This window comes from Homo sapiens, chromosome 7, assembly GCF_000001405.40.
Source record: "Homo sapiens chromosome 7, GRCh38.p14 Primary Assembly".
Lineage (NCBI taxonomy): Eukaryota > Metazoa > Chordata > Mammalia > Primates > Hominidae > Homo > Homo sapiens.
The window spans coordinates 30,750,950-30,777,692 of NC_000007.14; the positions used below are offsets into that span (position 1 = coordinate 30,750,950).

General features: G+C 48.2%; 2 protein-coding genes and 1 long non-coding RNA gene across 4 annotated transcripts in view, besides 4 other annotated features; all 3 read left to right on the forward strand.

Moving 5' to 3' along the window:
- Positions 1,186-6,653, forward strand: INMT (indolethylamine N-methyltransferase). Of its 2 annotated transcripts, none has more exons than NM_006774.5 (3): positions 1,186-1,355; positions 2,782-2,989; positions 4,473-6,653. In NM_006774.5, exons 1-3 carry the CDS (start codon positions 1,202-1,204, stop codon positions 4,900-4,902), a joined length of 792 nt encoding a protein of 263 aa, NP_006765.4. In that variant the 5' UTR covers positions 1,186-1,201; the 3' UTR covers positions 4,903-6,653. The 2 variants fall into 2 exon arrangements, with proteins under 2 accessions (NP_006765.4, NP_001186148.1); NM_001199219.2 differs by having other exon boundaries at positions 2,785-2,989.
- Positions 1,186-26,743, forward strand: part of INMT-MINDY4 (INMT-MINDY4 readthrough (NMD candidate)) — a 140,253-nt gene continuing 114,695 nt past the window's right edge. Inside the window, exons 1-3 of the long non-coding RNA NR_037598.1 lie at positions 1,186-1,355; positions 2,785-2,989; positions 15,396-15,612. This is a non-coding gene — a long non-coding RNA (INMT-MINDY4 readthrough (NMD candidate)). The remainder of the gene's footprint in view (positions 1,356-2,784; positions 2,990-15,395; positions 15,613-26,743) is intronic.
- Positions 20,349-20,398: a silencer, noted in NCBI's record as "silent region_18071". NCBI's record gives its function as "represses an Ori minimal core promoter by ATAC-STARR-seq in GM12878 lymphoblastoid cells {active_cell/tissue: GM12878}" and the evidence as "EXISTENCE:reporter gene assay evidence [ECO:0000049][PMID:35858748]".
- Positions 20,459-20,508: a silencer, noted in NCBI's record as "silent region_18072". NCBI's record gives its function as "represses an Ori minimal core promoter by ATAC-STARR-seq in GM12878 lymphoblastoid cells {active_cell/tissue: GM12878}" and the evidence as "EXISTENCE:reporter gene assay evidence [ECO:0000049][PMID:35858748]".
- MINDY4 (MINDY lysine 48 deubiquitinase 4) overlaps positions 20,468-26,743 on the forward strand; it is a 120,971-nt gene continuing 114,695 nt past the window's right edge. The window contains exon 1 of the mRNA NM_032222.3: positions 20,468-20,607. Coding sequence (NP_115598.2) covers positions 20,545-20,607 — 63 coding nt within the window. The 5' untranslated portion in view covers positions 20,468-20,544. The remainder of the gene's footprint in view (positions 20,608-26,743) is intronic.
- Positions 20,584-20,878: an enhancer, noted in NCBI's record as "tiled region #4; HepG2 Activating non-DNase unmatched - State 4:PromP". NCBI's record gives its function as "activates a minimal TATA promoter and a strong SV40 promoter by Sharpr-MPRA in HepG2 cells {active_cell/tissue: HepG2}" and the evidence as "EXISTENCE:reporter gene assay evidence [ECO:0000049][PMID:27701403]".
- Positions 20,879-21,028: a silencer, noted in NCBI's record as "silent region_18073". NCBI's record gives its function as "represses an Ori minimal core promoter by ATAC-STARR-seq in GM12878 lymphoblastoid cells {active_cell/tissue: GM12878}" and the evidence as "EXISTENCE:reporter gene assay evidence [ECO:0000049][PMID:35858748]".

The following is a 26,743-nucleotide window of genomic DNA, read 5'->3' on the forward strand; positions in this document are numbered from 1 at the left end:
TCCTTCCACCCTGCCCACAACTTAGTTAGCACCGTGCCTTTATTGCACACTCCTCCAATCATGTAATGCGAGCCCTGCAGTTTCCTGCCTGCTCTGTATGCCTTTTGCAGGCCAGCACGACAGCCGCAGGCCTCCCTGGAGGCTGCCCAGGCACCCGCCCCTTGGAAGCCAGGCCCTGACGACCGCTGGGTGTTCCTGCGTCTGTGGCATCACCCATCTGTTGGGCCCTGTGGATTCAGAATTGTTTGTTTACTTAAAGCCAGAACAAGGCATTCCTGTCCTTCCCACTTTCAGGGCAAGAGGCCTGAACCTCCAGTGTAGCGGATTCATTTCTGTCCGGTTTGTGGCCAAGTCAGAGCCATTTCCTAGTGCCAAAAACAGAGACTGAGCTTTTTTCTGTCTGTGGGAGATTTTACAACCCAGTCCCATTTCAAAGAGAAGACTGAGGCCAGGAGTGTCTTACCCGGAGTAGCCAGGTGAGTCAGTGGCCAGGAAGCCAGGACCCCTCTGACAGTTTATGCTTTATGACCGGGCGCCCTTGTTCTCATTCATGGAGATTGACGACAATTTCTGCTCTTCTCCCAGTGACCTGCACAGTGATGCCAAGTCAGCCATTCTGCTCTGCCTCCTGGGGTCTGAACTGTGTTCTCCAGCAGGGATGGGGGATGCATGAAGCTGCACCCACTGCCTGGCCTAGAGAGAGCCACTGGGCCCCAGTGACCACCAGGCGACAAGATGGGGATCTCACTGTGCACTCAGGTCACAACACCTGTGACTTAGAGGAGTGACTTTGGTCCTTACAGTCAGTGAAGTGGGCACGCAGGTGGGGAAACATAGGTCTGACACCTACTTGGAGGCCACAGAGCAGCATGTGGCTGCCAGGGCTGAGAGTTGCACCCAGGGCTGGGCACCATCAATTGCCTTTGACGGACATGGGTTGGTCCCTAGAGGCAGCAGGGCCAGGGCGGCTGCAGCCCCAGCTGTCATAGCTCTGGGGTTGGGGAAACCTCAGGTGTGTCAGTGTGGCTGGGAGGTGGTGAGACATGCACTGCCTTCTGCATCCCCCTAGAAGGAGAAGCTCAAGGAAAGGCATACTTGGGAGGAGCCATGGGATGAGGCTGGAATGCTGGGGGTGGAGCCTGGAGAGCTTGGAGCCCTCATAAGACCTGATAGCAAGGAGGGGGCACATTTCAGGGACACCATGAAGGGTGGCTTCACTGGGGGTGATGAGTACCAGAAGCACTTCCTGCCCAGGGACTACTTGGCTACTTACTACAGCTTCGATGGCAGCCCCTCACCCGAGGCCGAGATGCTGAAGTTTAACTTGGAATGTCTCCACAAGACCTTCGGCCCTGGTGAGCAGAGGGTGGCCCTTCCCCTTGAGCCTCTCTCCAAGGAACCTGGATGGGGATGGGGAGACGGTGTCCTGGGGGCAGTCTGGTCTCCTCTAGGGGTTTTTGGGGATGGGCTGGGGGAGCTTCTGGGGCCCTGCCCCCTCTCTTTGGGCAGCTGTTATGCTGGAGGTTGAGTCTGTCTCCCCATGGCTCAGGAGCTCTGTGCCAGCTGAAGAGCACAGCCCCGTGCAGTTCCCACACTGCTCTCCATTAGCCCCTAGGTCTTTGGGGTGGAGCAGAAAAGGCTCTCCAGGTCATCATCAAGTTCAGTCCTGACCTTGCACAGCCAGGCCTCTGGGGCCCCCAGAAGGCCAAGGGCAAACAGCAGGGTTGCAGTGGGACGGGATCGCCTGTGCCCGGAGTGTGCAGCCTAGATGTGTCTGTGATGAGGACCTGGAAAAGCCCTGCCCTGGGACAAGGATTGCTAGGTGGGGTCTCAACCCTGAGCAAGGGGCTCAGACCCCAAGGACCTCAACTGAGCCATCTGCACGATGGATGGTGACTTCTGCCTGTCTCCCGATGATCACTGCCCTCCCCATGGTGACCCCATGATTTGATTGTGTCTTCTAAACTCAAGCAGCCGTGTCCTCACTTTAGGCACTTGACTGGGGAACAGTAAGGGTGAGTCTCCTGGTGGTCTGTGGGATAAGAGGGGGTTAAAAGGCTGCTGAGCCTGGAGGAGCAGGCCGGTGTGGGAGGCAGAAATCAGAGAACAGCCGGACTGGGTGTGACCAAGCTTGGAAGGCCAAGTGATGGCCCCACGCCAGGGCTCCAGACAGAATGTTGGAAGTCATGCTTCATTCCAGCTTCCAGGTGACCCTGGATTCACTCCTGGGGCCATCTTCCCAGATCATCTCCTTAGCCCCGGCTTCCTATTCCTGTATGCTTTCACCCCTCCCTCCTCCAAGGAACAAGAAACCCATCCAGGAAGGGCTGGACTTCCAGGGGAGGCTTCCAGCTCCCAGTCAGCCTGAAACTTAAAGGGCCACTGACCCCAGCATGTCCTCTCTGAACTCTCCAGCCCGAATCTTCCCCAGAGCAGGGCTTGGGCCTCTGTTCTCTGTCCCAGAAATATTATACTCTTGGCTTATGTTCTTGACTGAAAGGTATTGGGCTAATTGTTTAACCTTTTACAGACTCAGTTTTCTAATCTGCAAAATGAAAATAGTGATAGCAGTCACTACACAGGGTAGTTTTGAGGTGTAAATGGAAATTAACACATATAAAATATTTGGCATGAGGCTTGGCTTACAGGGAGCTGCCAATCCGTGATAACCACCAAGCACGTTTGCCCCTTGGGTAAGACCAGGGTGTGTGTCCTCATCCCTGTGTCTGCCTTGGGTCTCGTTTCTTTTACCCATCCATTACCAGTCTTTCCCTCCCACAGGAGGCCTCCAAGGGGACACGCTGATTGACATTGGCTCAGGTCCTACCATCTACCAAGTTCTTGCTGCCTGTGATTCCTTCCAAGACATCACTCTCTCCGACTTTACCGACCGCAACCGGGAGGAGCTGGAAAAGTGGCTGAAGAAGGAGCCGGGGGCCTATGACTGGACCCCAGCGGTGAAATTCGCCTGTGAGCTGGAAGGAAACAGGTAGGGGTGCAGAGGTTGGGGAGGGGGTTCCCAGTCAACCTTCTTTCTCAGAAGTCTCCCTGGCCTCTTTGTTGTCTCTGACATTTTCAGGACAGTAGGACCTTCAGGTATAGGACCAGATGTCCTGTGGTGGGGATAGAGTAGATGGAATCCCAAGTTTCAGGATTACAGCAGTTTTAGGGGCAAGACTCTGATCACAGGACTATGTTGAGGTGTGATATAGTCAAGTATGAACACTGAAAACCAGATGATTTTCATCTCTTCCTTCTTCTCTTCCTTCCTTACCCTCATCTATATATCTACCTCTCTATCTTCTATGTATCTAACTATCCGTGCATATCCATCCATCCGTCCACCCACCGGTTCATCCATTCATCCATCCATCCATCCATCCATCCATATTCATGCATCCACCCACCCATCCATATCCATCCATCCATCCAGCCAGCCAACTAGCCGTTCACCTATCCATCCATCTATCCATCCGTCCATTCATCCATCCATCAATATTCATCCATCCACCCACCCATCCATTCATCCATCCATATCCATCCATCCATCCATCCATCCACCCATTCATATCCATCCATCCATCCACATACATCCGCCCAGCCATCCATCTATCCATCCATCCACCCATCCATCCATATCCATCTATACATCCATCAATCCATCCACCCATCCATCCATATCCATCTATCCATCCATCCATCCATCCATCCATCCATCCATCCATCCATGTCCATCCACATTCATCCACCCACCCACCCATCCATCCATCTTTCCTTCTTCCCTCTATTGTCTGTACCTGTGTGACTGACTATATAATGTATAATGACGTGAACTCACCACCCAACCTGAGTACTCGAATATAATAAAGACTTACCTGTGCTTCTCTGTGACTCCTTGCCTCTGCCTTTCCCAACCTCGGGTAATCACTAATATGGATTTTATGCTTATCATTCCCTTTTTCAAAAAATTTTTTTCTTGCATACTTATGTATATCTAAACAATCTATAATTTAGTTTTAGTCGCCTTTGAGCTTTATAGCAGAGTAATTTGCTCTGTGTCATTTGCGATTTGCTTTTCATCACTCAAAATTATATTTTTAAGATAGCTATATTCATACATTATCTGTAGTAAATTCATTAATTCATTCATCCATCCATCCAATAATGTTTGTTAACTGCCCTCTCTGTGCTTGGGGTGGCTTTGTCCATCCTGGGGATTAAGGGAAGGGGGCTCACATGGAATCAGAGAGAGAAAGTTTCCTATAATTGTTCTAGCCATTCTCCCTAACCATTTTTCTTTGGGAGAAACTGAGGCTCAGATTGAAGAAGAGCCTGCTGTCAGGTCACACAGGGACTCAGGGACAGCAATCCTTTGGGGATCCAGAGATCATCTCCATCTGCTGGTCACAGTGGACTGAGAGTTCCCTTCAGAACCTCAAAGGGCCTCCCCGACTCCCTCTCTCTCTCTGCAGCGGCCGATGGGAGGAGAAGGAGGAGAAGCTGCGGGCAGCGGTGAAGCGGGTGCTCAAGTGCGATGTCCACCTGGGCAACCCGCTGGCCCCGGCTGTGTTGCCTCTCGCCGACTGTGTGCTCACCCTGCTGGCCATGGAGTGTGCCTGCTGTAGCCTTGATGCCTACCGCGCTGCCCTGTGCAACCTTGCCTCACTGCTCAAGCCGGGTGGCCACCTGGTGACCACTGTCACGCTTCGGCTCCCGTCCTACATGGTGGGGAAGCGTGAATTTTCCTGCGTGGCCCTGGAGAAAGAGGAGGTGGAGCAGGCTGTCCTGGATGCTGGCTTTGACATTGAACAGCTCCTACACAGTCCCCAGAGCTACTCTGTCACCAATGCTGCCAACAATGGGGTCTGCTTCATTGTGGCTCGCAAGAAGCCTGGGCCCTGAGCCAGGAGGGCCAGCCAGAGGTCTGGTCAGGCTGTGAGGCCTTGGCCATCTGTATGCTAGAGAGGGGTGAGGAATGGATACTGTCTAACAGTCTCTGATTTCAACACTAACATTCCATCTTCTGAAATTCTGAGATTCTAACATCCTTGTTTTAGAATTCTAAGTTTCCAACATTCCTCATTCTAGGATCCTAGGAGTGGAATTTTCCATTTTCTAATATACTAAGCCTTACAGCTATCTTAGATGCGATCTGACTCCTGTGTGACTGTGGAGCACCCAGGGACGTGGTTTTAGAGTCTACCTAATATGTTAAGGACAAGGAAACCTCTGAGTCTACCTAATATGTTAAGGACAAGGAAACCTCTGGACAGTGGTATATTGGGGAATTTTTTTTTTTTTTTTGAGACGGAGTCTGGCTCTGTCACCCAGGCTAGAGTGCAATGGCACGATCTCGGCTCACTGCAAGCTCTGCGTCCTGGGTTGACGCCATTCTCCTGCCTCAGCCTCCCGAGTAGCTGGGACTACAGGAGCTCGCCACCACACCCAGCTAATTTTTTTTTTTTTTTTTTTATTTGAGACGGAGTTTCGCTCTGTCGCCCAGGCTGGAGTGCAGTGGCGCGATCTCGACTCACTGCAAGCTCCGCCTCCCGGGTTCACGCCATTCTCCTGCCTCAGCCTCCCGTGTAGCTGGGACTACAGGCACGCGCCACCATGCCCGGCTAATTTTTGTATTTTTAGTAGAGATGGGGTTTCACCGTGTTAGCCAGGATGGTCTCGATCTCCTGACCTGGTGATCCACCCACCTTGGCCTCCCAAAGTGCTGGGATTACAGGCGTGAGCCACCGCACCCAGCCAGGGGGAATGTTCTATAACCAGCTCTGTAAAGGAAAAGCACTGATGTGTGGTAGTCACCAATTTCTGTGGTGTAAATACTCCCACCATGGTTGATTTCAAGCCACCAGTGGTTTAATAACCAGCTCATAAATCTCCTAAATATTTTACAGTTGACTCTCATGAGCTGATTGGAGTCAGCTGGAACATACCACTGCCTCTAGACTAAGGTCAGCAGATTTAGCAAATACAGACTGCCCCAGTTCATTGAATTTTAGATAAATGAAATAAATCTATAAGGTTAAGTATGTCCCCAGAACTGCATGGAACATGCTTAATCTAAACAATGATTTGTTGTTCACCTGAAATTCAAATTTAGCTGGGTGTCCTGTATTTCATCTGGCAACCCTACTTCAGACCCAGGTGTAAGGTACATGGATGTGCTTTGGTCAAGGAATAGGCCAAGGCAGAGATCCATGCCTGCATGACTCAGTGGGTTTGGTGCACAGGCACACACCTCCACTTGTTATATAACCTGTTTGTGTAAGTTCATACTTGGTCTGAGCCACTGTTGTCTGTAAAAGGTAATTGTCCTGCTAATGCTGTACAGGGGCTCTTGGGGTTCGGCTCAGCTCAACATGGCTTGACATGGTGGGCACACTGGCGCCCAGTAAGAGAGAGAGAGAGCCAAAGCTGTCCGTTTTGCAGATGGACAGGAAGGAGCCAGGACACAGCTCAGCTTGCTCACGCCCAGAGAGAGAAAAAGTTAAGCTGCTGACCCTGAAGGCAAGGGAGAGCAGGCTGCACAGCTGTGTGTGGAAGCCACGGGCTCAAGCAGCCAAGGCAGGGCGGACAGTGTGAGAGAGCTAGTGTAAGCTGTTGATGAGAGCTGTTGCTGAATAAAACCATATTCACCTGCCTATGGGCCCTGAGTGTTCTTTCTGTCCATCTACCCACTCCCCTCAGACTTTAGCACGGGCTGGACCTGGACCCCAGGACCTGACACCAAGTGAGAAGAGGAGCAGCCCAGGGATCAAGGGTATTCCTCGTACATAAGGTGCCTTTGTGCAAATTAGGAAGAGGTGCTCCTGCAGATGGACACATTGCAGAAAGGAGTGTTCAGGGCTGATTAATTGAGAAAAGCTGTTCCATCTCCCTGTGGAAGCGCTATGAGAACAAGGTGCCTCTTCTGGGCAGACCAATTAGAGAAAGATGTCCCTTCCTTAAGGCTGATTGGGTCACACTACTGAGCACCTGTCAGCCTCCCTTTTTCCCTCAGCCCCAATCTGTGCCTTTGTGTGGGTACACCCTGGGCACAGCAACCTTGATAAGAGCCAGGAGACCTGGAATCTACTCTCAGCCCTGCCACTAATTGTTTCACTTCTCTGGGCCTCGTATTCCTATCCATGAGATTTAATCTAATAATCTACAGGAACATCCTAAGAACAGCAGGAAGTCATTGATGTGGAAGTGCTTTTTTTTTTGAGGCAGAGTCTCACTCCGTCGCCCAGGCTGGAGTGCAGTGGCGTTATCTCGGCTCACTGCAAGCTCCGCCTCCCGGGTTCAGGCCATTCTCCTGCCTCAACCTCCCCAGTAGCTGGGACTACAGGTGCCCGTCACCACGCCCGGCTAATTTTTTGTATTTTTAGTAGAGACGGGGTTTCACCGTGTTAGCCAGGATGGTGAAAGTGCTTTTTTTAAGGTGTAGTTTCACTCTTGTTGCCCAAGCTGGCGTGCAATGGTGCGATCTCAGCTCACTGCAAGCTCCGCCTCCTGGGTTCAAGTGATTCTCCTGCCTCAGCCTCCTGAGTAGCTGGGATTACAGGCATGCACCACCATGCCCAGCAAATTTTTGTGCTTTAAAAAGTAAAAGGTTTTGCACAAATTGACCCATTGATGTTATTCCCCCAGAGGGTCAGGGCTGAGATGGTCTTTCAAAATTACCCAGTCTAATCTCCGGGTTTTTTGTTTGTTTGTTTTGAGACAGAGTCACACTCTATCGCCCAGGCTGGAGTGCAGTGGTGCAATCTCAGCTCACTGCAACCTCAGCTTCCCACGTTCAAGCGATTATCTTGCTGCAGCCTCCCAAGTCGCTGGGACTACAGGCGTGCACCACCACACTCAGCTAATTTTTTTATTTTCAGTATAGACAGGGTTTCACCATGTTGGCCACACTGGTCTTGAACCTCTGACCTCAAGTGATCCTCCCTCTTCGGCCTCCCAAGGTGCTGGGATTACAGGCGTGAGCCACCATGCCCAGCCAAATCTCCATTTTTTTTGTAGTCAGGGACGATAGGTCCCAAGAGGGAAAGCGACTTGTCCAGAGACACACAGCAAGCTGGTGACAGAGCTGGAGTAAGAACTCAGGCGTTCTGACTCCTCGTTCACCCTGTGTACCCTCATTCCACCAGGTCTCCCCACCCGGCTTGGAAGGGCAGGGGGCCCTGCTTCCCTTTGGCTCTCTTTTAGCATAGACTCGTTTCTGTGATAACATCCCTGCCAGCAGTCCTTCCCTTCCGGGCTCATGCTTTACCCCAGAGAGCATGTGGACCCCAGCTCTTCTCTCAGTACAGCCCTCTCCGGCCTTGTCTGGAAAGGCATTGAATATGGGTAGTTTTATTTTTATTTTTATTTTTATTTTTTTGAGACCTAGTTTCGCTCTTGTTGCCCAGACTGAAATACAATGGCATGTTCTTGGCTCATTACAACCTCCGCCTCCTGGGTACAAGTGATTCTCCTGCCTCAGCCTCCTGAGCAGCTGGAATTACAGGCGTCTACCACCATGCCTGGCTAATTTTTGTATTTTTAGTAGAGAAAGGGTTTCACCATGTTGGCCAGGCTGGTCTCGAACTCCTGACGTCAGGTGATTTGCCCGCCTTGGCCTCCCAAAGTGCTGGGATTACAGGTGTGAACCACTGTGCCTTGCCGAATATGGGTAGTTTTAGACATGCTCATGGCAGAATGATCAACAGGCGGAAGAAGTGGGAGGTCCAGCCGATGTGGATCCCTGAGAGCCCATGTCCACAAACAGGGGAAGAATAGTGGCTAAAATAGGTCTTGTAGGGAATTTTAAAGACAAGTGAATTGTCTGTTGAGGCAGCCAAAAAGGGGCTGGCTTCTGCCAGGTGGCAGCCAGGCAATGTCCAGGAGAGGAGATTGCCAAGGAAAGGAGGCTACAAATGCCCCCTCCTTGTGATGTCAGGACCTCCCTTAGCGAGCGATCTGGCCAAGACACAGGGAAAAGACACAGGATCCAGACCCGGGGCTCTGCTCCTTGGACGGCTCAGTGCAGAGAGTCAGCTGGCTGCCTGGAAGGAGAGAGTGGGCAAGGGTGTGAGGGAATCTTTGGGGGCTGTGGAAGCTGTTCTACCTTATGAAATGGGGCTGGGATGGACTGAGGGACTATGCTGTGCTCTGTCATTTGTCCATAAGTACTCTCTACATGCTCTAATAAAACATTTTGTTTTACTCTATCCAATGGGCAGAACCTGTGATATGCTGTCAAGACTATGGGGGAAGGACTCTTTAGGGAAGAAAACCCTATTGTGACTAAAGGAAGGAACCTTCTGTTTGGGGCAGAGAGGCAGACTTGTAAGTCATGACCATTGGTCCACAGAACTGTTTCATCATGCAACGGTGAAACTCTGTACCCGTTAGACAGTAACTCCTGGTCTCCCTTCCCCTCGCCCCCAGCAACCGCCATTCTACTGTGTCTTTATGAATGTGACTACCCTAAGTACCTCATATAAGTGGAATCATACAGTATTTGTCCATTTGTGACTGGCTTATTTCACTTAGCATAATGTCTTCAGGTTCATCCGTGCTGCACTGTGTCAGAATTTCCTTCCTTTTCAAGGTTGAATAATATACCATCGTATGGATATGCCACATTTTGTTTATCCATTCATCCACTGATGGACACTTGGTGGTGTTTGTGTTTGGGCTATTGTGAATAATGCCGTTATGAGGCCAGCCACAGGTAAAACTCACTGAATTCTCACAACAGCTCATGTGGACAGTATTATTTTGAAATTCCATTTTACAGGTGAGGAAACTGAGGCACAGACCTTCTCAAAGTAGCTATTAAGTAGAGAGCTGGGCTTATGAACCCAAGCACTGTCATTCCAGAGCCTGAGCTTAACCTGGACCCCACACTGTCATCTCACAGGGGTGCAGAAGAACATCTAACTAGGCTTGGGGGAAGTCCAGGAAGCCATGGAGGTGATCTGTGAGCTGAGAGTGAAGAGTGAATAGTTCACTGATGGCTGATGGAGAAAAGGGCTAGCCATTCCCAGCAGAGGGAACACCTGTGTGTTGCGGCTAATTACACAAAAACCCATCTCCACTCCTAAGTCATGGCCCCTGTGGTCCTGAAGTAACCTGAATTTGAAAACAGAAGACACAGGAGATTTATTATCTGTGTGGTACCCCCTACTTCCTACCTATCTACCTCCACCACATCATAGGAATCAAGTAGCAAGGCCAAGCCAGACTTGGAGAGATGCCAGCAGAAGCATTTCATAGGCTCAAAAGGACGTACATTTCCCAATCTCTTCCTGACCTATTTCTAACTCCCGTATCCTTATGGGGGTGGAGCTGGAGGTTGAAGGGTCTGTGGGGGAGGTGGGGAAGAGGAGGATGAAACCCCAACAGCTCTTTTGCCCTCTGCCTGTAAGTTCAGCTTATCTTATCCTAATGCATTCTTGACTCCTTGCTGAGAAATGCTGCTTATCTTGCGACTCCATTCTAGTCTCAAAAACCCTGCATTTATTCTTTTTCCTAGAACTCTGAAAAAACCCAAGCTTGGGGAACATGGTTGTTTACCAGAGTCATTTTAACTGCTTATCTAGAAAGGAAAGGAACAAAAGTTGGCCATTCTGGTCATCTCAGCTTAGGCAGCACAGAGGTCATGGAGAAATTTTCGTAGGCAACTGCCTCTACTTACGGGAAAAGCTATAAAAACATACAGTTGTGTACAAGCACAGAAGTGAGACAGGCCCAGGCTCGTGTGGAGATCAAGGACTGCAGGACTTGAGTTCTGAGATCCTGCACATGTGGGCATGTTATATGTACAATAAGCGTGTGGGGTGTCATGAACTGAGATCCTAATAAAAAGAACCAGAGGTATAGAAACATGACATCTTGAAACAAAAGAACGCCAGTGTTCCAGAGATTGCTAGTTGTTCTCCCGTGCCCACTATGCCCATTAACTTCTTCAGAGTAATAGATTTTTTGGCTGGGCTCCATTTAGCTGGGCAAGGCTGCCTTAAACAAGACTATATTTCCTAGTCCCCTTTGTAGCTTTGTGCGGTCAAGTGAGTGAGTTCTGACCGAAGGGATTTGAGCAGAAGTGTCGTACCAGCTTCTGGAAGCCTTCCTTAAGATGTCGTAAACCTAGACTCTGCTATTTACTCTTCATCCTTTACCCTGTCCTGTGATCTGGAATGTGGCTGCTGGCATCTTGGTTTAGGAGGTCAAGGCCACACATGGCGGAGAAACAAGACAGAGGGAAACTGGGAACCTAATAATGTGAAGCACTCATGAGCCCTGGGTTTTTATGTGAGAGACAAATAGACTTTCATCTTGTTTAAGTCACTGATATTATTGTTACCCTTATTATTATTATGGCAGAAATGCCAGAGAAGTGGTGTTGTGTCTCTTTCAGTGCATAAGGAGGTATGTAACATTGATAGTCCTCTGGCTGGGGATGATAACTTTGATCACTTGGTTAATGGGTTGGCCAACTTCTCCATCATAAAGTGAACATTTTCCCCTTTGTAATTAAGCAGTATCTTATGGAGAGATTCTTTGAGATGACATAAATATCCTGTATCCACTAGTTTTAGCATCCATTGATGATTCTTGTCTGAATGAATTATTATCATTATCCTGGTTGCCAAATGATGATTGGCAAATTCCATCATCCTTTCTACATTTATGAGTTCACATTCAAATGTAAGGAGAGGCTTTCCCTTCTCCTTTATATATCTATATATATATATATATATCTATATCTATCTATCTATCTATATATCTATCTATATATATATCTATATATCTATCTATATATATATCTATATATATCTATCTATATATATATCTATATATCTATCTATCTATCTATATATCTATATATATATCTATCTATATATATATATAAACATGGACTCATGGGTTCTTATTTTATTCAGTTGGTTATAATCTGTGACTATCATAACTTACTCTGATATACAGATTTAGCCAGTAGGACCCCTTTTAAGCTGGGTGGTGGTTTGTTCTTCTGACATGATTCCCTTATTTTTTTGAGTACTTCCTTACTAAGTTACTCTTATTTTGAGTTTTTCTGTCACTCTGAATGGAAATGGGTACTAACCATTATAATCAGGCATAGGAGTAAAAGAAATGGATGAGGGCTCTGGGGCTGCCTCCTTCAGCTCTGGACCTAGAGGCCCAGCACTTGGCATGCCGGGGACAGGAAGGGGTTCACAAAGCAGCCACCCTTCAGCTAGAGTTGAGCTGGGAAGGCACTAGTTGCTGCTTGCTCCAAACAGCCTTGTTTTTGTGAAGGACTCAAGCCAGGAAACCTGGGATAGTCACAGAGAAGAAACCCTGTGACTATCCTCAAGGCCTGCCTTAAAGCTGAGGATATATCATGGTCTCTGCATAGAGACTGAAGTAGAAGGGAAAAATCCCTATAACCATCAGCCCAAGTGCATGGAGTTCAAATATTCAGGTAACCAACCTAGAGGAAGGTGCTCCAATTGAACCATCAGAGCAAGGGAGCCAGGTTTGTAAAGAGCTGTAGACTAAGAAGTCAGAGAACCAGGGGAGAGGGAGAGCAAGAGGCAGAAGATTAAAAATTGTGAGCAGCAGGAGGCATCTCCAGGGCACATACAGAAAATCATATTTGTACAGCCTGAGATAAATGGAGAAGACTGTTCATGGTAGTAATGGCCTATGGTATCTGGCCAGATAGGCTCCATTTAGCTGTCCTGAGGCCTGAGGAGATTGTGACTCCAGCATCCCTATAATCAATTTGTGATACATCAGTACTGACAATCCCTGTGGGAATATCTGGTCTAGCAAACCCTGGAGAAAGAGACCACTGCCCCACAACTGATTGAGCTTTCACTCATTCTTAGAGATTCATAGTATTTAGGTTGAAAAAAAAAGCTGCTTTAACAAAAGACTCCCTCATCCCCACTTCCAAAAATAGAAAAAAAATTAAAAAAAATAAAAACACTAAGCTCAAACCAGATGAAAGTGTATTTCTCTCACCTGTAACCATCTGAAGTCCGTGTCACCATGTGAATGCTCCATGCAGTCATTCAGGGAACCAGGTTCCTTCTATCTTATTTCTGCCATCCCCCAGGATAGCACACTTAAACTCGAGTGAGCATCAGAAGTACCTGGAAGTCTTATAAACACAGATTGCTGGGCCCCACCCTCAGAGTTTCTGATTCAGCACATCTGATGTAGGGACTGAGAATTTGCATTTCTAGTTTTCAAGTGGTGCTGATGCTGGTGTTTGGCGGGCAGCTACACTTTTGAGAATCACTGTTCTTAGGTGTTGCTTTCGTCTTTAGGGTCACAGCACATACTCATTGTTGCAGCTGGTGCTCTGGCTTACAGGAGAGAAAAGAGGATGAAAGAGATAGGGCCTGGTTTTAAGGTGCCGGCCCTCTTATTCTGCTGGTGACAAACTTAGTTCCATGGCTGCCTCTGACTTCAAGAAAGGCTGGGAAATACCACGTGGCTTGGAAGTCTTTTGCCCAGCTCCAAACATATAACCATGCATGAAGGAAATAATGGATTCTGTTGGGCAACTAGCAGACTTCACACAGGACTTCACCACTTTGGGAGCAGTTTCAATTCATTTACTCAGACTAGAATTTTTATGCCGAATCCTACTTTGGAGGAGACTATGTTATGATTTCCAAAGAATGTCTGCACCATTTCAACAGGAATTTTTCACAGGGAGGCACTGACAGCTATGTCTGAAGGTTTGGGGTCTGTACTTGCTGGTGAAAACATTAGAATGTCAAGCAACTGCCAAAAGTCTCTGCTTGGCCCCAGAGAAGGCACATTTATCTGGACAGCATCCAAGGAGCTTTGATCAAGAATTTCCAGGGCCATTCCAGGGCAAGTGTGCAGCAAAGTAGGTTGGGTTTATATTATCCAGGGGTGTGTGTGTGTGTGTGTGTTGTGTGACCTAACTAGTTCTTTTTCTCTGGGGACAACCTTCTTCCTCCCTTGATTTATTTTAAGGAATTGGCTCACATGATTGTGGGGACTGGCAAGTCTGAAACCTGCAAGGCAGGCTGGCAGGTTGGAGACCCAGGGAAGAGTTGATATTGCAGCTTGAGTCCAAAGGCAGGCTGAAGACAGAACACTCTCTTCCTTGGGGAACCTTAGTCTTTTGCTTTTAAGGCAATCAACTTATTGGATGAGGCCCACCCACACTATGAAGGATAAGCTGCTTTACTCAAAGTCTACACACAGCAACATCCAGGCTGGCATTTGACCAAAGAGCAGGGTATCATGACCTAGCCAAGTTGACACATGAAATTAACTATCACATTGGTGGAGAATTATACATTCTTCTTGATTAAAATGGTCATTTTCTCAAAACCCCATGGGATACCTCTGCTATCTTCTTTTCTCTCCCCAGTCAGTCCCCGTGCACAGACCTGCACAAATGGCTGAGCCTCATCATTCCTGACAGCGAGGAGATCTTGGATGTGCCAGGCCTAGTGAAAGACCAACAATCTCACTGCAGGGGTGGCTGTCCCATCTCCTCCTACTGGAGCCTGGCTGGGGCCTGGGTTCCCCCTCCATCTCCAGTCTCATGTTGGCGACCATGTGGATACAGCCTGGGAGCAGAGATTGGGATGTGGTGGATAAGACAGAACTATGGGGGGAGTGTGCAAATAAACTGTCTCTTCATATTGCCAAGGACAGTGGCCTGGGCTGGACCCCCTGTCCTGATCTTTGGGGATGGTGGCCAGACAGCTGGGAAGGTCTGAGAGTCACATCATTAGAAGGAGTTTCACAATGTTCTTCCAACCCCCCTAGTCCAGACATGTTGCATTTGGTCAGATCCCTGTTCCCAGCCCCAAACCCTGACAGCCAGTCCCTGGGAGGACATGGTTATGGGGACAAGCATGTATGCTTTTATTCTCTGGAACCCCCTGATCCAAGCCCTCCAGACACTCAAGGAGCCCTTGGTTGGGGAGGGATTCATTCGGTCAGTCACCTCCCTGGAGCATCCTGGAGGAGGCAATGCTTGATCCTCATAATCTTGCAAAACATCTGGCCCCCATGTAGCAGGCCTCACCTTCCTGCTCCAAGTCTCACAACACACCGGATGCATCCTGCTGCCAGAACCAAACGGGGCACCAGACAGAATTCAGGGAGTCCAGAAATTCCTGTGGGTAAACTCACACAAATGCAGGAGCTTGTCGACTCAGAGATGCACAGAGCCACAGCTGTATGGTGATGGATATGATTTCTCACACACACACACACACACACACACACACACACACACACCTACCTTTCTTCTCTGTGTGACAGATGTGTTATGAGGCAAGGCCGTCTAAATTGTCCTTCCAGTGTAAAGTCCATTGAATTTTTCTCCCTCCCTTTCTTTTCTACCTCAGGGACATGGAGTTAATTAATAACACGACTCTTGTCAATTCACGACATCCTGCCATCACTGGTCCTTGAGAGGCCATCTTTTATTAACTAATGAATCAATAGAAATAATATAAAAGATGCTGAAGAAACAAATACACTCATGACACCCAGAGCACGACGGATACTTATCATTACCTGCGTTGTTCTCATCTGCCATGTCCTTGACCTTCCCATTCCCAGGTAACTGCTGACCTGAATCGTAGCTTCATTTTCTTGCTTTTAGTTTTATAAAGCTTTACCAAAGCTCCATTTTCCTACCAGAAATTATGACTTCTTGGTTTAAGTTGTTTTTAAGCTTATACAAAGATTTTATGCTATCTGTCATCTTTTGGGAGTTAACCTTTGCACTCGTATTCCCATTGTTAAGATTTCATGTGTAGTCCATTGCATTGTTGAGAATGTGAATGAAATGATTGCCCATCACTAATGAGGTGCATGCTCATCTTGGCTAAATCTGGCTTTAGGTCAATGAGTAACACAGAGAAATTATTACTTTCTGGGTACCGGGCAAGTGTGTTTTATAGTTCTTGCTTATTTAGCAGGCTTTGTGGGTTTGTCCGTATTTTATGAAACCTGGAAAAGCATTTTCTTTTCTTTTTAAGTGATTGTAGATATTTACAATGATTGGGTCCTTATTTTGATGGCATTGCTGTTTTTATCTCCAGCATGTTTTTTTAATAAGAAGACCTCAATTACCATTCATGTTCAGGCAGGACAGCAGGGCTCCCTTAGGTTTATGAGAATGTTCCAGCTCACGGGAACACGGTGTAGAGAAATGAGGATTCCTTGTGGAGGATTGGTGGGAAAGAATGGGACACATGATGTGATCTAGTCTTTCCCAGATGTCTGGTAGCACACCCTCTGCCCTTCCATGATGACCAGATTGCCCCTTTCACTTGCCACCTTAAGGCTGTGTTAAGGTTCTTTTATTCCCAGGAGCCAGCTATGTGCCTGGAAAAAGAATGCATTCCTGCACTTCTCTTGCTTAACCTTTCATTCCAATGTGAAAAAAGAGTTTCAGGGCCAGGAAAGTGACAGACACACACACACACACACACATACACACACACACACACACACACACACACACACACACACACACACGCACTTAACCATGTCTAGCCTAAGTTTTACCTGGACCACTGATTGGTGCAGTTGTCCCCCAGCTAGTCTCCCTGCTTCCATACAGTAAGTCCTAATTTAGCATCATCCATAGGTTTTTGGAAATTGCAGCTTTCAGCGAAATGACATATAACAAAACCAGTGTTACCATAGGCTAATTGCTATAAACAAGAGTTGAGTTCCTGGCATATTTCTGGTCCCAAAAAGATCACCAATCTTTACCTGCTTATTCCAGTTCAGGATCATGAGTGATCAGGGCAAAAGGCCTGCCCTGGACAGGACAACATTCCATCACAGGAAGCACTCACACCCACACCCACATCCACAATCACTCACACTGGGACCATGTAGACACACACATTCACCCAGCGTGCACATCTTTGGGATGATGGAGGAAACCCGTGCAGACATGGGGAGGACACGCAAACTCCACACAGACAGTAGCCCCAGCTGGGAACTGATTTTTTTTTCTTTTCAACGTCATAATGAAACAATGTTGAAGGAAGCAATGTTTTTTGAGGATCCATTGTACTTGCCCTTAATCTACAATCGATTCTCAAAACAAAAGCCAAAGAGATCCTGTCAAAACCTAAGTCAGATCCTGTCTCTCCTCTGCCCAAAACTCTCCAAAGGATTCCCCATTCAGAGGAAAAGCCAAGCCCTTCTGATGGCCCTATACCACCAGGTCCCTGTTTCTGTCTCCTCTCTGCTCCCTCTGGCCTCAAAATTTCACAAGCACTCAGGTTGGTCGCCCTTGCAGGGCCTCTGCATTTGCGTTTCTTCTGCCTGCAGTGCTCTCCCTCCAAGTCTCTGCATAGCTCACATCCTCTCTTCCTTGCTGAAGTTCTACCATCGAAGTGATCTTATCCAGTCAACTTTTAAAAATTATAATTTCTGCTTGCCTTAAAAAGTCCTCCTATACTCCCTCCATGCTTTTTTCCCTCTTCAAGTCTATGATTTTTGGGGGTCAGCTGCAGTGACTCACTCCTGCAATCTCAGCACTTTGGGAAGCTGCATATCTTCAAGCTATCCTCCAGACAGGAGGATAGCTTGAGGCCAGGAGTTTAAGACCAGCCTGGGCAACATAGTGAGACCCTATCTCTATAAATAAATAAACAAATAAACTAGGTAGGGTGGTGCATGCCAGTAGTCCTAGCTCCTTGGGAGGTTAGGCAGGAGGATCATTTGAGCTCAAAAATTTGAGCTTACAGTGAGCTATGATTGTGCCACTGAACCCCGTTTAGGTGACAGAATGAGATGCTGCCTCTAAAATACATACACACATATATCTATGATACCCTTTAAATCATCTGCAGTGCTCTGTGTTTTGTATGCATTTATAAATTTTTTTTTCTGTCCATCTCCCCATTTGCATCTTTCCCCATTCTCTCTTCAAGAAGGCATATATTTTACAGTGTTAAATCTGCAGCACCCATACACCTGGCACGTGGTAAGGGCTCAACAAATATTTTTAAAGGAGTAAATGAATGGAGGAATGAATGATTTTTTCTCTTTTCACCTTCGTCTGCCTCCACGGGGGAAATCTCTCTTCTGACCTACTATATAACACCTACTATCTGTGATACACAACAGCAGTCCTCAACATTTTTGGCACCAGGGACCAGTTTCGTGGAAGACAGTTTTTGCATGGGAGGTGGGGGATGGTTTTGGGATGAAACCGTTCCACCTCAGATCATCAGGCATTAGAGTCTCATAAGGAGTGCGCAACCTAGGTCCCTCGCATGTGCAGTTCACAATAGGGTTTGTGATTCTATGAGAAGCTAATGCTGTGGCTGATTGGACAGGAGGTGGAGCTCAGGTGGTAATGTTCCTTTGCAGCTACTCACCTCCTGCTGTGTGACCTGGTTCCTAATAGGCCACAGACCCATACCGGTCCACAGCCCAGGGGGTTGGGGACCCCTGATACACAATCTCTTATGGAGCATAAATCTGTCTCATGTTATTCTTTCATTATTACACATCATCCATCAGTGTGTCTTCACAGCTGGAACATGAGGGCCCCTGGACCAAGCATCATACTGTCTCCTGCAACTCTGCCCTTCTCTCTCTACATATAAGAGCACATGGCTCTTTCTCACATAGCACAACATGTTCAAAAGAGGCTTCTCAAAGAACCATTGCACGTTGAGAGGGGAAATTGCCTGGAGATTATGGTGCAATCTGCCACATTAAAGCTACGTCCTATGGAGACTGTATAGGGTGAGATAGTTGCTTCCCAAGTGTGGTACATGTGCCAGTGGTGGTTGTAAGGTGATTTAGGTGAATGCATACCTTTCTGGTTTTGTGTTTGTTTTAATGTGTATTAGAGATTTAATAAGCACATAAAACCCAAGATCTTGTGGCTATTACTGCTTGGGAACACTTTCCTTTTAAAATAAATTGTAAAACATGTATGTGGATTTAAAGAAAATAATACATAAGTAACTGTATAGGGGTTAAGGGCTGAATTGTGTCTTTCAAAACTCCTGTGTTGGGCCGGGTGCGGTGGCTCACGCCTGTAATCCCAGCACTTTGGGAGGCCGAGGTGGGCGGACTGCCTGAGGTCAGGAGTTCAAGACCAGTCTGGCAACATGGTGAAACCCCGTCTCTACTAAAAGTACAAATATTAGCTGGGCACGGTGGTGGGCGCCTGAAATCCCAGCTACTCAGGAGGCTGAGGGAGGAGAATGGTTTGAATCCGGGAGGTGGTTGTTCACTTGGCAGTGAGCCGAGATTGCGCCACTGCATTCCAGCCCGGGCACCTGAGCGGGACTCTGTCTCAAAAAAAAAAAAAAAAAAAGAAAAAAAAATTCCCGTGTTGAAGTCCTAATGCCTGGTATTCCAGAATGTGACTGTGTTGGATAGGGTCTTTAAAGAGGTGATGAAGTGGAAATGCAGTCATTAGGGTGGACCCTATTCCAATACAACTGATGTCTTTATAAGAAGAGATTAGGACACAGGCACACACGGACGGCTAGCCACGTGAAGACACTGGGAGAAGGTGGCCATCTATAATAGAGGCCAGGGAGAGAGGCCTCAGGAGAAACCATCCAGCTGACACCTCGATCTTGGTCTGTAGCCCTCAGAACTGGGAGACAATAAATGTGTTGTTTAAGCCACATGGTCTGTGGTACTTTGTATGGCAGCCCAAGCAAAGGAATACAATAGGTAACATGCGGAAGTGGCAAAGATTGTGAAGGTGGAACCCAGGTGACTAAGTTCGGGGAAAATGTACTGGGCTTGGTTAGAAACCCAACTTTCCCAGTACCCAGCTGTGTGGGCCTCAGCAAAATCTTAGCCTTTCTGAATCTCAGTGTCCCGTTTTAAAGAATGGGGCCAACAGTAACTACCTAGCCAGGAAGTTGTAAGGATTAAAAGTGCAACCGTGAGTTAAGAGCTTGGTGATCAATAAATGGCAGTCTCATTACGGGAAAGCAGGCACCAAGGGGGCGAGGAACATCTCCTTTAATTTCGGTGCCCAAGAAGCAGAATGCTGGGCTTCCTTGCCCCCACCGTCAAGGCCCGCCAAGGTCAGTAGCGTTGGTGGCCCCAGAGGGGGCCGTGGTGCTGAGGGTGGACCTGAGGGGGTCACTTCCCTGTGAGTTTAGTCCTCCAGAAACAAGGAGGCAGGTATTCTTCCCATTTTATGTCTAGGAAAATGGAGCCTCGGAGCGGAGCGGTAATTTGTCCTAGGCCTCTCAGATGACCAGGGCCAGGGTCAGAGTGAGGCCCCGAGTCCGGAGCCGTGGACGGGGCCCTAGGCGACACCAGGGCGCCCTGACTGCGGCCTCCCACTCCGAGACGCGAGTTTGCGGGACGCTCCACCCCTTCCCTCCCGCCCCAGCCCGCCAGCCCCAGGGAAGGGGAGGAGTTCTTGCCGCGCCGACGCCGCCGTCGCCACGGCAACGCGGCCATACTGCGCCGGACAGACCCAGTTGCCTGGTGCTGCGGCCCGGCGTGGGCCTCGTGGGCAGAGCCAGAGCCAGAGCCATGGACAGCCTCTTCGTGGAGGAGGTGGCCGCCTCCTTGGTCAGGGAGTTCCTCAGCAGAAAGGTAACGGCTCGCCCCCTCCAAAGCCCAGGAAGTGGCTCTAATTTGGGGGGATCATCGGGGTCTCCCCTGAAGGCTTTGCAGCTTCTGGGAGGGCGCCCGTTCCCTACCTACTGCCTGCTCCAGAGATGCCCCAGAAGAGCGCCGCTTTCCCGGGACAGGGGAAACTACATTTCCCACGAGGCGTTTCTGCCGTCGTCACCGGGCGCTTCCGCAAGGCACGGTTTGGACCCCGTCCGCTGCCCTCCTGGGGCATCCGCGCTCCGGGGCGGCGGCAGCTGGGGAGGGGGCCTGGGGGCCGCGCCAAGCAATCCTAGCGCGGGCGCACAGCGGGCAGGCCTGCGCCCTAGCCTGGCTGCCGGCCTCCGTGCGCTACCCACGCAAGTCAGGGTCCCACTCGGAAAGAACTTCTCCCAGAGGGAACCCCAAAAGCCCAGAAAAGTTCTTGACGGTCAAACCCTTAGTCATTTTAGTCAACAGTGGGAATTCCAGTGGTTGCTTTAATTTTTGTAAGTTTTCCTATTGTCTTGTCCCAGGAGAGTTTTTGCAGTGTTCACAAGCTTGGAAGGTCCTTAGCTGTCATCTGGCCTCAGGGTGGAGATGGGGACCTCGGTGGGGAAGGAGCTCGCCGGGGGGTCTTGGGCGTGGTAGTGGAGGGGGACATACATTAGCTCATTCAGCACATGGTGACTGAGGGCTGCACTCTGTGTGTTTTGTCTGTCCTTGCAGTGTCATACTGGGCTAGGGCGATGGGTACTTGTCTTGTATGAAAACACATACACGTAATTTTTTGAATGGAGGAAAGGGGAAGGACTTTGAAGTCAGACGGAGACAATTCAAATATTTGCTACTAGTTTGCAGTGTGAACCTCAGTACTTTACTCACTGTCTCAATTTCGTTATCTGTAAAACAGGAAAGTAAGACCTACTCTTTGCAGATTTATAATGAGGATTAATATTAACATATGGGCAGCTTCCAAGCATTGGATCTGACATATAGATACAATGTGCACGTAGGTGTTCAACTTTATACCTCCTCCCACCCTCACTGTTTCTGACACCAAACAGGTGTCTCTGAAGTGCACCTGTTTGGAAAGTGTCTTTGTGTGTTTTTTATGATTTATTTTTATTTGAAAAAATTTTAAATGCGTTTGGCTTTGTCGCATCTGCCCTGTCTTTATGGCTAATTGACCTGCCATCACCTGTCCTGGCTGCATGTTGGATATCAATTGACACACCCTGGAAAGCTGACTGTTAACATCATTTCTTTTAAGTCTGGGTCACTGAAAAAAACTCTTAGAGAGGGCTTCCTCGTGTTCTTTCTTGAGTACAAATGAAATCCAGTGTCCTCACTGACATCCAAGCCTGCCCTGTAGCTTGACCCCAGCTTACCATCTCAATTTCATTTCTAGCCTCTCCCACATCCCTCCCCACCACCCCCCACTTGACATGGCCGAGTTCCCCTGGTCTCCTCTCCCTCGCATGTTTTATCTGGGCACACTAAGGCCCTAAGAGTAGAAAGGAGTTGCCCACAGTTACTCAGAAGGTCACAGTGAGCTGGGACTGCAGCCCAGGTATACTGCTTTCTCATCGCCTTCTGCTCTAGGGCAGAGACCACGTGCTCCCCACAGGGTTTTGCACAGGCAGTCATTGCACCCAGCAGTCGTAACCAAGAGAGCTGCCACCTTGGTGCCAGGTACCTAGAAGGTGCTGGTTTGTTGTCTCAGATCCTCGTAACAGTCCTGAAAGATAGGTATAAGTATTCCCTTTCACATAAGATTATTGTGAGACCAGGAGGCCAAGAAACTTGCCCAGGGTGAGCAGGTCAGACCATGTAATTCCCCTGCTCAAACCCCTCTACTGGCTTCCCATCATAATTAGACTTCAAGTCTCTCCATTACTTGGCTCTGGCTACCCTCAGACCTCATCTTCCATGACTGCTTGCTCCGCCCTCTACCCTTCAACCACTTTGGCCTACTTGAACTCACCAAGTGTGGTCTTCCCTCGGGGGAGTCATGATAGTCTCCTGGAGATGGCAGGGTCTGCTGAGGTGACTCTTCTGCTGCCCCAGCTTCTTGAGTCTGTGGCTCCACTCCTGCAGTGACTGTGCCATCCTCCCTCTGCCACCCTGCCCCATGGTCATGAGCTGGGCTTGTTGTTACCAGTACTGCGCCCTTTCTGTAATCTCAATTCCAAGCTTCCCACCTGTCAAAATTTCTAGCTTGTTTCCCATCATAGCCCCACGTAAACTCTTCTCCAGCCTCACCACATCTATATTGCATTGTTCCTGCCAACTTTTCACAGTCCCTCGGGCCTACCATAACCCACCTACCTCTCACCCACCCATCCTTATAATTGCACCCTCCATAACAGGTGCAGCTCTTTTGCGCTTCTCTCCTTTCATCATTCTCTTCTGACAGTAAAATTCCACTCGTCCTGCTCTACACTTGCGCCCATAGAGCTGAATGAGATTGGAGAGAAACACACACCACTATGTTGATGGTATCACTCTAAATCCATGGCCACTCACCCTTGTGGTGCCTTATGGGTGCCTGCCCACCTGGTTGCAACTCTCCAGACTGTTTACCCTCTGAGACCCTGGATGACCATTTCATACCTTCTCTCTCTTCAAACCCTGAAGCTCCTTCCCCATCTAATTTCACTGAGAAAACAGAAGTCTTGAGAGAAGTCCAGCAGGCTCCCACTACCACACTTACTCACCTTCCTGGGCTGCACCATTCACTCTGCTCTCTTTAGTGTTCTTGTGGATGAATTCTCCATACCCCTGGTTAGGCCCACCCCTCCATGTGTGCATGCCCTCTCTTGTGTGCTCAGGGATGTCGCTGTCTCCTGCACCATGCATTTCCCTCCTCTACTAGGTTACTCCTATCAGCACATGTTGTGCTCCTGCAGAATCCCATCTTGACCCCCAAACCCTAGCTACTGGTTTATTATTTCCTCCCTTTCTATAGAAACCCCATAAAGGACCTGTGTCTACTTTCATTTTAATTCTTTTCTCTGCTTTCTCGAACCCATTTTAATCAGACTTTTGTCCCCATCATTCCATGGAAATAGCTCTTCTTAGGGCCATTATTAACCTGGAATTTTTAGTCCTCGCCCTTCTTGATCTAATGATTATGTTTGTCACAGTTGATTGTGTCCTTCTGCTTGTCTTCTAGGAGACTGTCCCTCTTAGCTTTCCTCCTACTCCTCTGGGTGCTCCCTTCAGGGTCTTCGCTGGTCCCCCTAGTTTCTCTGTCCTGTGCACTCTGGTGGGCTCAAGGACTTAGTTTATGGCTCTCTTCTCTTCTTCTTTCCGTTCACTCTCAAGACATCTCAGCCAGTCTTGTGGATTCCCATACCATCTATATGCTGACAATTCCCAAATGTCTATCTCTAGCTGAGACCTCTCCTTGAACTCTTGAATTCTTACAACTGCCTATTCTACATATCTACTGGGATGTCTAACAAGCATCTCAACATGTCTCTGATAGTGTTTCTGCTCACACTTCAGACACCAAATGTATGGGGATTTTTCCTCCATACAAACTAAATCTCCAACTCTCCAGACACCAATTGGGTGTCGTACAATTCAAATCAGTCCTGACACTACCAAGAGTTAGTGCAGACCCTGCAGGTTAAGTCACGCTCATGACTGCCCCCACTTCAGATGCTAGTCAGAAGTCCCAAGTTGCCACCTGAACTTCTGACCAACTAGCTATAAATTGAGGGTTCCCACAACCCCCTCCACAGTTTTAATAATGTGCTAGAATGGCTCACAGAACTCGGAGAAACACTTTACTTACATTTACCAGTTTACTATAAAGGACACAATTCAGGAACAGCCAGATGGAAGAGATGCATAGGGCAAGGTGTGGGTGGAGGGTCATGGAACTTCTGTGCCGTCTTCAGCATGCTGCCCTCCCAGCACCAACCTGGGAACTGCCTGAACCCCATCATTCAGGAGATTTTGTGTCAATTCTGCTATATAGGAATGTTTGATTAAATCATTGACCATTGGTGGTTAGCTCAATCTATAGCTTCTCTTCCCTCTCTGGGAGATTGGGAGGTAGGGCTGAAAGTTCCAGCCCTCTAATCAAGGTTTGCTCTTTCTGGTGACCAGCCCCCATCCTGAAGCTATCTAGGGGTCCCCATCCACTAGTCATCACATTAGCATACAGAAGACATTCTTATCACCTTGGAGATTCCAAGGATTTTAGAATCTATGTGCCAGGAACCTGGGACACAGAACAAATATATATTTATCATAATGTCCAAAACTCAATTTCTGATTTCCTGTTCCTCCTACAACTGTGCCCATTGGAATAAATGGCATCTCTGTCCTTCTAGTTGCCTGGGCCCAAAACTTTGGAATTATTCTTGGCTTGTTCCTTTCTTGTGCACCTCATATCCAGTCCATCAGCAAATCTGTTGGCTTTATCATCAGAGCACATACAGAATGTAGCCACTTCTTACCACTTCTGTTGCAAACACCTTGCTCCAAGCCACCCCTTTGTTTCATGTGATTTGTGAATTGTTCAATAGCCTCCTAAATGGTTTCTCCTTAATCTCCTGCCTCCTACAGTTTATTTTCAACCTAGCAGCCAAGTGATCTTTCAAAAATATGTCAGTTCAAAATAGTAGCCTTCCCATTTCATAAAAGCCCACAAGACCTTTCCTTATGAGTCTCTGGGTGACTTCTGACTTCCTTACCTCCTTTCCCCTGCCATGCAGCTCTAGATGCACTGGCCTTTTGCAACTGGCTCAGGGCCTTTGCACTTGCTGTTCCTTGCCTGGAACACTTTTCTCCCAAGTGTCTGTGTGGCCTGCTCTTTTGATTCCCTCATCAATCAATGATGCCTTTCCTGACCACCTTTGATAAAGTAGCAGCGCATCCCCACACCCACCCTAGCCCTCTCTGTCTCCTTATCCTACTTTGTATGTTTTTTCCCCATATCATACTATACTTGTTGTCTCTCCCCCTATAGAGTGCAAGCTCCCTGAGGACTGGGACTTTCATCTGTTCACTGCTCTGCCTCTAGCAACTGGACTTACGGACTAGTGGTCTGTTCCCTTCGTTTCACAGATAGGGAAACTGGGACAGGAGTGAGCATGTGGATGATGCTGAACAAATAGCTGGCCATCTAAAACAGTGGCCTTCATCCTTGTCTTCCCTCTCCCTGCTTTGTCTCCCTCGTAGTGCATATTAGCAGCTGCCACACTATACATTTATGGTCTGCTTTCCCAACAGAACATCAGCTCTTATTCCTTCTGTCTCTCCTGCATCTAGAACAGAGCCTGGCACATAGGAGGTGCATGACAGGTGTTTGTTGGGCGAATGAAGTTTGAATGGGCTGGATGGGACTGAGGACTGGCTGACTCCCAAGGGCACCCTTGTCCTCTACCCCAATGGTATTTCTTTTCTTTTCTTTCCTTTTCTTCTTTCTTTCTTTTTCTTTTTCTTTTTTTTTTTTAGAGATAGGGTCTCACTCTTTCATCCAGGATGGAGTGCAGTGGTGTAATCATAGCTCACTGTGGCCTTGAAGTCATGAGCTCAAAGATTCCTCCTGCCTCGGCCTCTCAAAGTTCAGGGACTGCAGGCCTATGGCACCATGCCCAGGCCCCCGGTGGTTTTCAAATGCTGGTGTGCATCACGCTCTAGAGCCAGGGTAGGGGTGGGGTTTGTTAAATGTACAGGGCTTGCTGATTTGAACTGTTGACAGACATAAAGAATTATCCATCAGAGAGAGCCTCGTTATAGCATGTTCCACATCACTTTGACTGGAGGGAAAGCCATGGTTAAGCCCAGATGAAATGCGGGTGGTTGGTTTTGAACCCCACCTCTCCTTCAAATGGACTCTTCCCGATGCACCTAATCCACCTTTTTTCTGACCCATATATCCATTTCTTTCCATTTCCCTTCCCTACGGCCTCCTCTTTCCTCTGTTTGTTTCAAGATTGTGTTCTTTTAGTTTCCCAAATTGACCTTCTTAGCTAAATTCATGGTGGGCATGGGTTTTGTCATGTTTCCCCAGCAGCTAGAGCCTCTGTAAAATTCTGAACACAAAGGCTCTGGGAGAGGCTGAAGCCTGTGTAGCACTGGGGGTCTGGAATCCATTAAGAACAAGGAACACCCCTAA